Below are 15,553 nucleotides of genomic sequence, written 5' to 3'. Positions count from 1 at the left end.
GTCCTTTTGTTTCAGCCTAAGTTATTTATAGGGCAGGTCTACCAATAATAAACCCTCTTATATTTAGTTTATCTGTGCATGCATTAATTTATTTTTTCATTCTTTAACAAGATGGATATAAAATTATTGTTTTACATTAGAAAATTGTGCAAGTTTTAGAATTATTGATTGTCTCTCTTTTTTTTTCTTTTACAACTTTAAATATGTCATCCCACTGCTTTCTGGTCCTCATGATGTTTGATGAGAAATCATCTATAAATTTTACTGGGGATCCCTTCTATGTGAGGATTTGCTTCTTTCTCGCTGCTTTGAAGATTCTCTATTTCTCTTTTTCCTTTGGCAACTTGATTATAATCTTTCTCTCCGTTGATTTTTTTGAGATTGTCCTAGTTGGAGATTCTTTAGCTTCTTAGGTATGCAGTTCATATTTTCAGATTGGAGAAGGTTTTGACCACTATTTCTTCAGATATTTTTTCTATTTTCTTCCGCTTCTTCTGAGACTCCTATAAAGTGTAGGTTGGTCCTCTTGTCCCAAATGTCACTTAAATTCTAATCACATTAAAAAAATTCATTTTTATTTTTGCTACTAAAATTGTATTATCAGTTGTTCAATATTCATCTTCACTGATTCTTTTTTCTATCTACTCAAAACTGTTGAATCCATTTAGTGATTTTTTAAAAAGTGTAGTTATTTTACTTTTTAGTTCTAGAATGTCTGTTTGGTTCCTTTCTACCATTTCTATCTCTTCATTGACAATATCATTTTGTTCATAAGTCATTTTTTAAAAATGTTATTTAGTCCTTCAGGTTCTTGAACATATTTAAAATAGTTGATTTAAAGTTATTGTTTAGTAAGTTAAGTGCCTATGATTTCTCGTGGACAGTTTTTGTCAATCTATTTTTTCTTTTATTTGTATATACTTAAGGGGTACAATTTCAGTTTTGTTATGTGGCTATATGATGCAGTGGTGAAGTCTGGCATTTTAGTGTAATCGTCACACAAATAATGTACATTGTGACCATTAAGTATTTTCTCATCCCTTACTATTCTCCCACCCTGTCACCTAAGTCTCCAATGTCTATTATTTCACACTTTATGCCTATTTGTGCAAATTATTTAGCTTCCACTTATAAATGAGACCATGCAATATTTGAATTTCAGTTTTTAAGTTGTTTCACTTAAGATATTTCAGTTCCATCCATGTTGCTCCAAAAAAAATACACCATTTTATTCCTTTTTACGGCTAAATAGTATTCCATTTTATGTGTGTATATGTATTTGTGAATTATATAATATATACCATATTTTCTTTATTCATCCATTGAAGGACAGTTAGGTTGATTCTGCGTCTTTGCTATTGTGAATATTACTGCAATAAACATATGCGTGCAGGGATTTTTTAATACAACTTTTTGTGTGTGTGTGTGGGGGATACCCCACAGTGAGATTGCTGGACTGAATGGTAGTTCTATTTTTGTTCCTCTGAGAAATCTCCACACTGGTTTTCAAAGAGTTTGCACTAATTTATATCCCACCAATGGTGTATAAGCATTCTTTTTCACTGTGTACCTTGCCAACATAATTTTTCTATTCTGTAGTAATAGTCATTCTGACTAGCGTGAGCCGGTACCTCACTGTGGCTTTAATTTGCACTTCTCTGATGATGAGTGGTGTTGAGTATTCTTTATATTCTTGTTGCCCATTTGTATGTCTTCCTTTGAAAAATATCTATGCATGTTCTTTGCCCACTTTATGATAGGGTTATTTGGTTTGTTGTTGTTGTTCTTTGAGTTCCTTATAAATTTTCAATATCAATCTTCTGTCAGTTGCACTGTTTGCAAATATTTTTTAATCTGCAGGTTGTCTGTTAACTCTTGATTATTTGTTTTACTGTGATTTGTTTATTTTTGGTTTTGTTGCTTGTGTTTTGTTTTTCAGGGCTTAGTCAGAAATTATTTGCCTACACTATTTTTTATATGCATTGTAGCTTAAGTTTTTTTTTTTTTTTCTGGTCGTTCTTAATGAACTTTGGACTATTACAATTTGATAGCATTATATATCAGATTATCTCTCTTTCTCAAGGTTTGATTATCTTGATTGTTGAAGGCTACCTTTGTTTATTCAGTGTTTTGACAGGTATTTTGTTGAATGTCAGGAGCTTAATCTTTGAGGATTGACCCAGTGCCAGGGCACTCCTTTAACACTTAAGGGGGCCATTTGTAATTCTGCCTCAGGTTCAGCTTTTACTTCCTTCTTACACTGAGCTTATAGATCAGCCAGTGATGAAAACTTAAGTCTCTTTTGGGCAGTTGTCATCTCCTGGACATACAAATTGCTTTCTAGCTTCTCCAGTACAGAAAAGCACATTCAAAGCCAAAATTTTTTGAAAAAACTCATTTCACATCTTCTCTTTTCGTCTTACTCCTTAGACTATGTATTGTATGTCATAACCATAATATTTCACTCCTATAAGTTTTGGGTTTCTAAATCACTTTTTAATGTTATTGAAAAATGTCTACCCGTGGCTGGGCACGGTGGCTCACGCCTGTTATCCCAGCACTTTGGGAGGCCGAGGCGGGTGCATCATGAGGTCAGGAGATCGAGACCATCCTGGCTAACACGGTGAAACCCCGTCTCTACTGAAAATACAAAAAAATTAGCCGGGCGTGGTGGCGGGCACCTGTAGTCCCACCTACTCCAGAGGCTGAGGCAGGGAGGCAGGAGAATGGCACGAACCCAGGAAGCGGAGCTTGCAGTGAGCCTAGATCGCGGCCACTGCACTCCAGCCTGGGCGACAGAGAGAGACTCTGTCTCAAAAAAAAAAAAAAAAAGAAAGAAAAAGAAAAATGCCTACCCGTTTTCTACGCTGATTGTGTTTCGAGCTAAAAAAAAAAAAAAAAAACAAAAAAAAACAGATATGAATGCCTTATGTGAGCCCTTCTGTCTCCAGATATATCACAACAGACAAGTTATATTATTAATATACAAGCGAGACTTTAAACAATGTGAATTAAAGAGGGTAATATTTTAGTACCAAAATACAGAATTCCAAATTATCCTATTAATCACATTAAATATTATTTATAAACCATAATTAATGCATTCATATTTATATTAATATTTGAATATAAATTATAGTATTGATTAATATTTATATTGATAATCTATTAATATTACTTCAATACATAAACATCAAAATGATAGAACTAGAAAGATGCAAATTCATAATTATAATGGAACATTTTTAACAGATCCAATAAAACACAAGACCAATATCACTACATCTTACACCTATAATACACCAATCTTACAAATATTGATTACTTAATGGATCATAATGCAACTTCAACAATCTTCCAAGGGTTGAAAATGTATGCAGTAATTGTAGGACACCAAAAATAATTATGCTGATGTCTAGACAAGGCCTTAATGTGTTGTGATATTCAATATTCTTCTAAATAGAAAACAGGTCAAAGAGGAAATCATGATAGAAATTAATAGAAAATATTTTAAAATGAAAGCTAAACATTGTAATGTAACTAAATCCATACATAACAGACCTGTGGCATCTCGTGTGTGTATCATAAAAGAGAAAGACTGAAAATAAATATGTTAAAAATAATCCAACTCAAAATACCAGAAAGAGTTCAAAGTAAATTAAAAATAGGAAAAATATTACAATGTAGAGCAGAGCATAATATAATGAAACTAAAACTAAGCATAAATAAACACATCTTTTAAAATATTGTTAGTTTCAAGTCTTTTAAAATATTGTTAGTTTCAAGTGACAAAAATGATACATGTGTAGGAAGGCTGATCAGGTAGAAGACAACATGTGTAGGAAGGCTGATCAGGTAGAAGACATACAACCAAAATCAGAATGATAAACAGCCATTAGCACCAGATTCTGCCAAAAATAAAACCTATCATGTTATGAATGATTTTTATCATGAAATAAAAACTTAGCTTTAAATAACAAATAGATGAAATAGAAAACACATAAACCTTACAACTCTTATATATTAATTCAATTATAAAATAATTCAACTCCTTACCCTTGCCATATAAAAAATATAAATGTTGCCTATTTAATGATTCATGATGCAAATAATGATTTAACTATAAAACAATTATATGAATACAATGACAGCAATATTAAAAATATTTGCCACTAAAGAAATTGAAGGCCTATATAATTTCCCCTGCAAACTTCAATAATGCTAAAGGAAAAGCAACAGAACTATCTTATAAACTGTTGCAGAGTATAAACAAAACAGAAAATATATCACAATTCATTTTCTGAGGCTAACATAACATAACCTCTTTACCAATAATTGAGAAGACAATGCAGGGAAAAGTCATTATAGGTAACTAATTCAAGAACACAGTGGAAATATTAAGCAAGATATTAGCAAACTGATCAAAACATACATTGTAGCCTACTTGGTTTAAATTCAATTCATTTTTACACTAGAAAATCAAATATCGTAATTTATCTGAGATGTTGAATAAGAAAAATAGTCTGTCACAATAAATGCAGAAAAAGCTTTTGACTAACTGCAATACATATTAATAAGGAAAATGCTCTTAGGAAATCAGAAATGAGTGAAACTTCCACAACCTGAAAATAGTTACCTCCAAAAGCCAATAGCAAATATATTCACCAGGAAATATTATTTTTCCTCAGATCAGGAATGAAACAAAGATGCACACTAATGCCATTTCTATTTGACCATGAGCTAAAAGCTTTCGCCATTGACTGAAAAATTTAATAGCTTATCTGTGATCAATTATATTTCATACATATATAATAGCATTTAGTTGTCACTAAGTTTGGTTTATATCGATGACTTGTCCATTCCCCTTTTTCCTGCACTAGCTTCTTTCTCTTAAACATGTTGTGAGATACATCTATGTTGCATGTAGCTGTATTTCACTTAGTTCCATTTATAAAAAGTATTGCCGTACTATACTCTAGTTTACTTTCCATCCTACTGCTGATAGTCATTGAGTCATTTTTAGTTTGGAGTATTCATAAACAAATCTCTCAAACATTTCTGACACCTTGATGTATATATGCAAAGACTAAAGATTATTCAGAGTACCTATCTAGAGTTGGAATTGCTGGGTCATACCATACATGGACCATCAACGTTGCCAAACTGTTTGCCAAAGTCACTGTGCCATTGTACACCCTCTACAGCAAAGTAGAAGACATTTCATTTCTACATGGTATAACCAATAACACTTGCTATAATCATTTTTTTAAATTATACCAGTCTTGAATCCTGTTTAAAATTACACATTCATATTTAGAAATCTTTTCCCTTATGATTTTTGTTTTTCATCTCGTTTAAAAACTCTTTTCAAATCCAAAGAAGTTCATGATAATATTCAGGTATATCAACTGCTTAAAATCTTTATATTTTTCTCAAAGAAGCATGGAATTAATCCTTGGAAATGATATTGTATAAGAATTCAATTTTATTTTTATATAGACATGACAATGTGGTATCTCAATTTATTGAAATATCTGTTCTTTCCTTATTTATCTACCACAACATATCTCTGATATATCAAGGGTCCATATAACTATAGATCTATTTTGTGGCTCTCTTTTCTGTTCCAGCATCTGATTTCCAAATGCTTGTACCAATTCCACATTTTCTTAATCACTTTAGCTATATAAAAAGTTATGCTAGCTTATAGATAATCTCCTTCCACCTTGTTTTTCTTTAGAAATATTCTGCCTAATATACTCTCTTTACATTTATATGCATATAATGAATACATTTGTCACATTCAACAAAAATATGATATGATTGGAATTATACTGCATATACTTAAAAATCTGTGGAGACTTAATATCTTTATAAGGTGGAATTGCCAAGAACTCTGAAGGGTCTGAAATTTTATTTTACGTGTCAGCTCTCCAGTTAGCCTGCCACAGTTTCAAGAATGCTGGCTTGGGGAACACATACTTTATACTGGGCAAAGATTAGGCTGTCTAACCCTTGCCTGAGAAGGAGATATTATCTTTTTTACATGGGATGTTTATTATATTAATATAATCACAAACAACTTTGAAAAAATAGTAGGAAAAAATGGAGTTTGTGATTCTGAATGAATAACATGCAGAAACATGAGCGGCCCATGAATAGTATTTTTCCCAACAGGAATCTTTCCATCGGCAATCATGGCATATCTTAATGTTTATTTATATGTTAATATATCTAGATTTAGGAAGAATATCATCTCTAGGAGTAAAGAAGAAAATTTATATATGGAGGTTCTTCCAGGGTGCTTCTGTTTTGCAGGCAATTATCCAGATCTTGAGCTTCATGGTATTTATGTGGATATTCTCTTCATAAGTATTTCTTATAATATACATATATATTTTACAAAATTACTATGTGTAACATATCTCATGAGAAAATAAAATATGTAAAATCATTCTTAAAAAATAATATAAGTAATACAACCCAATAGGAGAGAGGACCGATATGGATTTGAGCTAACTTATAGCTTGGTTGCATTTGTCTGTTAGTCGTTGTCTGGCTGTGGTTTTTGTACACTTCTAGGGAGTATCACCCCAGGGATTCCAACTAAGAGCCTAAGGTTTGTGAAATCAATTACAAATATTTCTCAAGTACTTTTGACTTACATGCCTTATGGAAGAAAAAAGTGCAAACTATGATTTTTATTATTTTAGATCAATGGATTTTACACATGAATATCTTTGCTAAATTGATAGAGTTCTAGCCACTGTGTTTTTGCAAAAAAAAAGTATACATAGAAATGTACATAAATACATTGTCTTATCTATAATTTCAGGAGATTCATAGGTCTACATAAGAACATTCCCAGATCAACCGTGAACTCATAGTTAAAAGCCAGTTCTTTCTTCAGGGTATTCAACCTAGTTGAGGATGCAGGACACGTTTTTAAGCAATTAACAACACTAATAACAACATGAAGAACGTTCAAACTGCCAGATGAAAAGCATAACCGGTAATGACTGTAGTAGTATAGAAGAATGAAGAGTTAGAAAAATCTTGGACATTGATGAAGCGTTGATAGAGGAGATAAGATCCAAATGACAAGTAAGATGAAGAAAACTAGAGAATGAAGAGGGCTTCTATGTAAAATCAACAGATAGTGAAAAGGCAGAAAAGCAAAATAAATGCTGTTTATTTTTGGCAAAGGTGATATCGATGGGTTGAGTCAATATTTATGTATCCAATAATGTGAAAGTACTAATTGTGTAGACATAAGAGCAATGAGAGAAAATACTCAATGTTCTCAGGACACTGCACTCAAAATGAGGTCACAACTTTAGTTAAGTGATGTCAAAATTAAATCTTAAAACTATGAAAGAAAAGGAGAAGTAAATAGATGTTGGTAAGGTGAACAAGGAGGCAAAACTTTTCTGTCTATGTGGATTTAAAATTTGTTTAATGGAGACCAGGATGCTACAGAGTTACTTTTATATCAATTGTTATGCTTAGATTTTATTTTATGAAAAATTAAGACATAGGTAGAGAGAAATAAACACCATGGTGCTGACCTCAGAAGAGAAAGAAATAGCTTTGAGTTAAGATGCACTGAATTCTTACATGTTTATTTGCATTACACCAGAACATCATTCAGAAAAAGTTTGTAGTGACATAAAAATGCATATTACTATGTTTGCTAGGATTTTAAAAAACAACACCAAGGAAACATATAAAGAAACAGAAAATTGAAATGAAGAAAAATAAGGTTAAAATATATTTTGATAGAGTTCAAAATTTAAATCATAAATTTCTACAGGTCAACAAATCATAAGAAGACAATGTAGCTGTGGGTTCTCAAGATGTCAAAGAAATGTTAGTCAAATATTAGTCAATTAAGACACATTGTACCTAAAATATAAAAGTTTTAAACTAACCATGACAATTTTTGGAATTAAAACTCAACATAGTTCTTACATGTCATTTTGAACAATATGTTATGACATATAGTGACTATGAAACAATATTTTTTTGAAATTGTTTATATCTCCTTTTTTAATGGCAAACTATAGTAAAAAGTCTATGAGAGGTTAAAATTATGAAAGAACACATTGATGTAGAATTTAAGGTACAAATTTACAAATCTATCACTGTTATAAAATATGAGTTGATATTTTTATATACAAGGTATTTTAACTGTGCTTTAATAATTATAATAGCAAATGTATGCTTAATGGTATAAGTTATTTTAAAATATATAATTGTATTGCACTGTTAACAAATACATATCTAAATGACAAGGTGCATATCAATGGAATGTTTGAATTATTTAAAATTTTCATTTCCTTATTGATTTGTGTGTTCTTTGTTGATAGTGGACATACTATGTTGCCAATTATTAGATTAACAATACTGAAATCTGTGAAACGTATTTCACATGTACTTTATTATTATAGGCACAATAAAATGGTGTCAAAACAAGAGTTAAGAGAGCATCCAGCAGCTTAAGGGCAAGAACATCCTACGATCTCATTATATTTTCTGCATAAGGATGCTTGCTTGGGGGACCACTGGATATACACATGGCTTCTACTCTCCTTTTATTATAGTCATAAAGAGCAACTGAAGCTCATAAAAAGTAGCTGGCAGATTTGTAAAAGATATAACAGTTTGTTCACAGAGTTTCTATAGAGCCACCATCTAAGGAAAATTTCCCTTCCAAAGCATTGCTAGGAGCTATTTATCTTAGAATTGCCTACTTTGTCACAGTAAACTGAGTATTCCTCCTGTCATCTAGTTTGCAAAACAAGGACTAGTTCTCTTTGACTTTTTCCTCAATAACAGTAAACAGTATATACATGAAGTATGAGAATTCAATACTTATAGAGTTATAACTGTCCTGAGGTGAAGGTCAATGTGTGTGTTTGTTTGCAAGATAGTTTATGTTGTAAATTTATTAATTAATTTGCACCTATTTTATAGCCGTTCTGGACATACACATGGGCAGAAGATGTAGCCGCCTTGTGTGAAAATTTGAGAGGTATTTAACTGTCTCTGCTGATAAGCCCCATGGCCTAAAATGTTCACACTATATAATCTGACCTTTATTTTTAATGAACATAAAGACTAAGCATTATAATGTTATCTAGAAACTAATGTATAGTTGTCCAATAACAGCTGATAATAAATTCACTAAAATTAGCTTATTAAATAAGTTTCCAATGAATAAATCAACCCTTCTGGGGGATATAAAATGGCAGCAATAATTGTTGAGAAGTGTTTCAAAACATTCCAGATTATTTACTCAACCACAGAATCTGGGAAGGGGGAGTTCAGAAAATGTAGAAGGAATAAAGAAAACCCTAAGTATGTATTAGGACTGAAGAGTTCTGAAAGGAAAAGAGTAAGAGAAAAACAGAGGCAGACAGTGACAGAGAGAAACTGATAGGGTTTCCAAAGGCAGCCCAGCTGGAAGGAAACTGCCACAATCTCCCAGAAACATGAAGTAGGGGCATAATATGTGATATATGTCTTGTCACAAGGTACCTAGTCTACATCAATGGTTTATCAAAGATCTGTGTTTCTTCCAGCTCTCTACTCCATCTTCCGCTAGTATAACCCTCATTGGCTGGAATCATAATGGTATCTGCATCTGGAACTGGCCACTAGTATAACACCTACAAAATGCACAACGGCCTTCAGACCATATGAAAAGTCTACAGGGTGAGAATCTGAAAATCCAGCAATGAGGAGAAAAAAGTTATCTCCCATTAAGAACACTTTCCAGAAGCTACACAATTCCAGTTATTGATTCATCCCATTTACTAGAACCTGTTCATCTGGCTATGCCCAAAACCAAGGGAAACTGAAATAGTGGTTACCATATTCTGTAACTCAGCCTAGCCTAGCTTCAGAAGTTTTAATAAAGAAAATAAAATGTATTGAAATATTTTTATAATATCTATTCATTTCAAAATACATTTTTTGTTTCAGCTCAATCTTCCATTTTAATATTCTATCACACTCCTTCATATAAGTTCAGATGTATTTTAACTTCTTTCTGAGGGACATTGTTTCCTATAATCAAAGCAGTTCAACTATCTGCTAAGTCAGTGCTTTCCTATTATAAGCTATTTTGATTACAATCAACCTGTGCAGAACAATAGGATGCTTTAGCAATGACTAAACACCAATGAATACTTCCTTAGCTTTACATAATGAGCAAAGGAAGTATGGCCCCATAGTCTCATCTCAGTTTCCTTAAGTCACTATCAATTCAGGTGTAAAATACAGAAAACACTTACATTGAAATTTTTGATTCCTCCAAATGGAAGATAAATTATACAGCATTGTTGAGTTGTAATCTCCAAAACCAAAATTTCTGTGTTTTCCACATAAGCAACCCAAACTGAGAGTTGCATAACAGCCCAAGAACTAAACATTGACACCAGCCTCAAAAACAGACCATTGATTATCACAACAAAAACTTCAAAATGCACCGGGGCCTCGTGGGCACAGGAGGTCTTTCAGGGAGTGAGCATCATTGTGATAGGATGGAAATGCTAAGATGTTTCTCTATTCTATTAATATATTCTGTATTCTAGCAATATAGAATATAATACGTAGAATATAGTATATATAATTAGAATATATAATTAAATATAATAGAGAATATAGTAATATAATTCTATATTCTAGTAACATATTATGAACCAAGATAAAATTATTAGGTTCATAAATAATTTTGAAGGCCAGATAGACAAAGTAATGTATAACCCCAATTGAGTGTTGGTGGATAACAAAATACCATGTCACCATCAAGAAACAGGCCCATTTTAATATCTCTTGGTTTACTTAGTAGAAGTAGCAGTTGTAGTAATATTGTTAGCGTAATGCTTTATGACAGTCAAAATCAGAATTATAAAATTATTCTTACTATATAGCTTGTCCTTTTTATTTGAATCCTTAATTTTTAATTTTAAATATCCAGATTTTATAGTCTCATTTTACAGTGTACTACACACAAAGACAGACATAAACATACACACAAATCCAGTTTTTGATTTACTCATACCAATTTAAAAATACATAATTTGGCAAAGCACAGTGGCTGGTTCCTGTAATCACAGCACTTTGGGAGGCTGAGGCGGGGCGGATCACTTGAGGTTGGGAGTTCAAGACCAACCTGGCCAATATGGTGAAATACAAAACTTAAAATGCAAAAACTAAAAATACTAAAAATGCAAAAATTAGCCGGGCGTGGTAGCCCATGCCTTTAATCCCAGCTACTCAGGAGGCTGAGGCAGGAGAATTGTTTGAACCCAGGAGGCAGAGGCTGCAGTGAGCCCAGATCATACCACTACACTCCAGCCTGGGAGACATAGTGAGACTCTGTCTCTAAATAAATAAATAATACATAACTCACCAGATAAATTTTTTTGACCACTATCAGTCATTTCACCTAACTATCTTCAGGAAATTGACTTACTTCATTTGGTAAAAGTACAATGCTATTCCATGTGAATTCCCTTTAAGTTAATACACAGAATTTGTGAAGCTTTTCAACTTTCTCAGCTGATTCTTGATAATAGCATTTTTTTACTCTAACATTATAATGCACATTTGTTCGCATACACTTATTATATACTCTATTACATTTATAAATTTGAATTACATTTAAATCCCAAACAGCTTTCTCTAGTTTATTCATTGTCTCTTTTACCAACGTTACATTTTTTATGGTATGTTAGGTATGACTCAGATTTTCCTTAATCCTTACCATGATTTTTGTTGTTATAGAAATGTACATTAAGGACATCCATTTTGTATTTTTTTAAAAAAGGAAAGATGTGTAAGATTTAAATTAACAATAATGTTCATCTTTTACTATACTTTGGTTAAAAAGTAAAGAAATATGAGCTAAGTTAATATAAACCCTTTACCCCATTTTCTTAAAGGGAAATGGAAATAGATCTGTGTAATTAAAAAATTTTAAACAATTTATGGATAATTAAGTAAACATTGTGTTATTATGGCAAGTGCAGCGATTGAATAGGAAGTAATTCCCAGTGAATAAGAAGTAAATGGAATAGACTAGAGGCCTCAGAAATAAAGTCACACATCTACAACCATCTGACCTTTGACAATCTTGACAGAAAGAAGCAATGGAGAAAGGATTCCCTATTTGATAAATGGTGTTGGGAAAAGTGGCTAGCCATATGCAGAAAACTGAAACTGGACCCCTTCCTTACACGTTATACAAAAACTAACTCAAGACAGATTAAAGACTTAAATCTAAGACCTAAAACCATAAAAACCTCAGAAGAAAACCTAGGCAATCTCATTCAGGACATAGGCATGGGCAAAGATTTCATGATTACAATGCCAAAAGCAATGACAACAAAAGCCAAAATTGACAAATGGGATCTAATTAAACTAAAGAGCTTCTGCACAGCAAAAGAAACTATCATCAGTGTGAATAGGCAACATACAGAATGGGACAAAATTTTTGCAATCTGTCCATCTGACAAAGGGCTAATATCCAGAATCTATAAGGCACTTAAATTTACAAGAAAAAAACAACCCCATCAAAAAGTGGGCAAAGCATATGAACAGAAACTTCTCAGAAGAAAACATTTATGTGGCCAAAAAATGTATGTAAAACAGGTCATCATCACTGGTCATTAGAGAAATGCAAATCAGAACCACAATGGGATACCATCTCATGCCACTTAGAATGGTGATCATTAAAAAGTCAGGAAACAACAGATGCTGGAGAGGATGTGATGAAATAGGAACGCTTTTACACTGTTTGTGGGAGTGTAAATTAGTTCAACCATTGTAGAAGACAGTGTGGCGATTCCTCAAGGATCTAGAACCAGAAATACCACTTGACCCAGCAATCCCATTACAGGTATATGCCTAAAGGATTATCAATCATTCTATAAAGACACAAGCACACATATGTTTATTGCAGTGCTATTCACAATAGCAAAGATTTGGAACCAACCCAAATGCCCATCAATGATACACTGGATAAAGAAAATGTGGCACGTATACACCATGGAATACTATGCAGCCATAAAAAATGATGAGCTCATGTCCTTTGCAGGGACATGGATGAAGCTGGAAACCATCATTCTCAGCAAACTAACACAGGCATAGAAAACCAAACACCACGTGTTCTCACTCATAAGTGGGAGTTTGAACAATGAGAACACACAGACACGGTGGAGAACATCACACATTGGGGCCTGTTGGAGGGTGGGGGATTAGGGGAGGGATAGCATTAGGAGAAATACCTAACGTAGATGATGGGTTGATGGGTGCAGTAAACCACCATGTCAAGTGTATATCTATGTAACAAACCTGCACGTTCTGTGCATGTATCCCAGAACTTAAAGTATAATAAAGGAAGTAAACCATTTCCTCAAATATACTTCAATTAATAAGTAAGAAAGAAAAATGAAGAGAATCCAAATATCACCTACATTACTGATAAAATTGATTTTAAGGTAAAAATCATCTAATATGAGAAAAAAATATATTCACTAAATTCTCAGTCTAGTGTTTGTAAATTTCAACTAAAACAATTAATTGTAGAAAATACTCACTTACTTACATGGCTCCTTCTCACAGCAATCTAGAAAAACAAAAGATAAAGAAACAAATTTACCCTACATCCAGAAATCTTGATAAATTATTAAATAATTCTGACCAATTACGAAATGTAAATACTATTGCTGACTTACCAGAGAACTCAGATCATCTTTTTCTAAGGAAGTGAAAGTTGCAACTCAAACTCACTTGTATTTAAAGAAAATCTCTTTTCATAAAAATCATTTGTGGGAGAGAGATGTTTCCCCTAATAACTATGCTTATTACCTTAAGTAAAATCATACATCTTTTGAAGGTATTAATATGTTATGGAATATTATTATTATGTGATTTTGGTATAATAATTGCTATAAATAATGAAAATGAAAAACAACTGTGTGGCAAAAGAAAATCTCATTCACATGACATTAGATTCTATTAGCTAAACCTTTACTTGTTTTTTTTTTTTTTTTACTAGCTACACAGTTCATATCATTTGTTGCCTTAAAGTGGAAGGCTCCAGAGACAGCTTCTTATGAATACTTCTTGAAAGATCTTTGAGGTCAAAAAAGTGATTTAACCTCAGAGATCGGCCTCAAATTCCATAGAGTGCAGAAAAAGAAAAATATAATTTAATTTCTAGGACATTCAGCAGCTAGGGATTTCAACAGCTATAGGCCAACACATGATTTGTGTTGTAATAACCAGTCATGACAGCCACATATTTTGATTTATGTTTAAAAGTGCTTTATACAAAATCTTTTAAATATGCTTGGATACTTGGTAGCTTCTTTTGTGGCAATTATGCTGCATGCATGTGCACACACACACAATGCCTCAGAATTTTAAGAAAAATGATGTCATGTGGATGTATAAAGTCAATGAAGTATGTAGTTAGCAAAATTAGAAAATTAGTTAGCAAAATTACAAGGAAATCATAGTTACAATTACACAATTCTTACTACTGGTTCAGGTCTTGATCTTATACTTTATTTTCAAAACATCATTTTACAGCCAACGGGCATTTTACATTGTACAAATATTTAAGGACCATCTCTTAATTTGTAAACACTGATCCCTGGGTATTGCTCTGCACATAAAGTACACTTGAATGCTGTAAATTTTCAATTTAATTTCATATAGTGAAGTGAAAAAATGAGTCAATAAACATATACTTTGGCTGTTAGCAACAATAATGCACATCAATGGTTTTGTTTCATACATTAAAAAAGGAAATAGAATACCCATTTCTTTAAAAAATAAATGTATCTCTTTGCTGAGTGCTATGCAATATGTCAATATTCAATTAGCTCTATGTGAGAATATTAACAATTTTTATTTTACTATTTTTGTGCCCAAACATTGAGGCAAGATGTCTGCTACCAAGTGACCATGAATGAGACAATGGACAAAGATTTACTGAGTTCTGGGGTCTTCAAGATTCTCCACAGTGAAATAAGAAAATCAGAAGAAAACAAAGGCTTATTCCCATTTTTTTAGCCATAGAAACACACAAAAAAAGTTTTCCCAATGGCTACCTAAATTGGAGCTTATCTGTCTAAAATACACAAGCTTTAGGATATGGTGATATAGAATATCAGTGGATTAGAAGATTTCGAAAATGCCTTGAAACTCAAATTCTATTTTGACTGTTGAGAATCAAATACATCTTTAATGGGTTAATGTTGGCAATAATCGAAAGTGTTTTAGCTAACATTCATGTGTAAACAAGGACAAACATTGGCAAATGTGATAATTACTACATAAGTTGTAAATTCATATGGAAAATGCATTTACTAATTCAGTCAGGGATAGGCTGTGATGTTAGGCATAAGAAATCCGTGCAATGTGATGTACAAGTCCCATAATATTAGGTATAAAAATCACCAATATTCTTTTTAAATAAACAAAACAAAAAAACTGAGAATGCCAAGGAAGATTTTAAAAAGGAAAGCAAATGATA

At 32.3% G+C, this 15,553-nt stretch overlaps 1 long non-coding RNA gene across 1 annotated transcript in view; it reads right to left on the bottom strand.

The window, feature by feature from the left end:
- Positions 1-15,553, bottom strand: part of LOC105370302 (uncharacterized) — a 112,367-nt gene that overhangs the window by 9,252 nt on the left and 87,562 nt on the right. The window contains exon 5 of the long non-coding RNA XR_931625.3: positions 13,608-13,636. This is a non-coding gene — a long non-coding RNA (uncharacterized LOC105370302). The remainder of the gene's footprint in view (positions 1-13,607; positions 13,637-15,553) is intronic.

The sequence above is a fragment of the Homo sapiens genome, chromosome 13 (genome assembly GCF_000001405.40).
Source record: "Homo sapiens chromosome 13, GRCh38.p14 Primary Assembly".
Lineage (NCBI taxonomy): Eukaryota > Metazoa > Chordata > Mammalia > Primates > Hominidae > Homo > Homo sapiens.
This window is presented reverse-complemented; position numbering and strand designations above follow the sequence as displayed.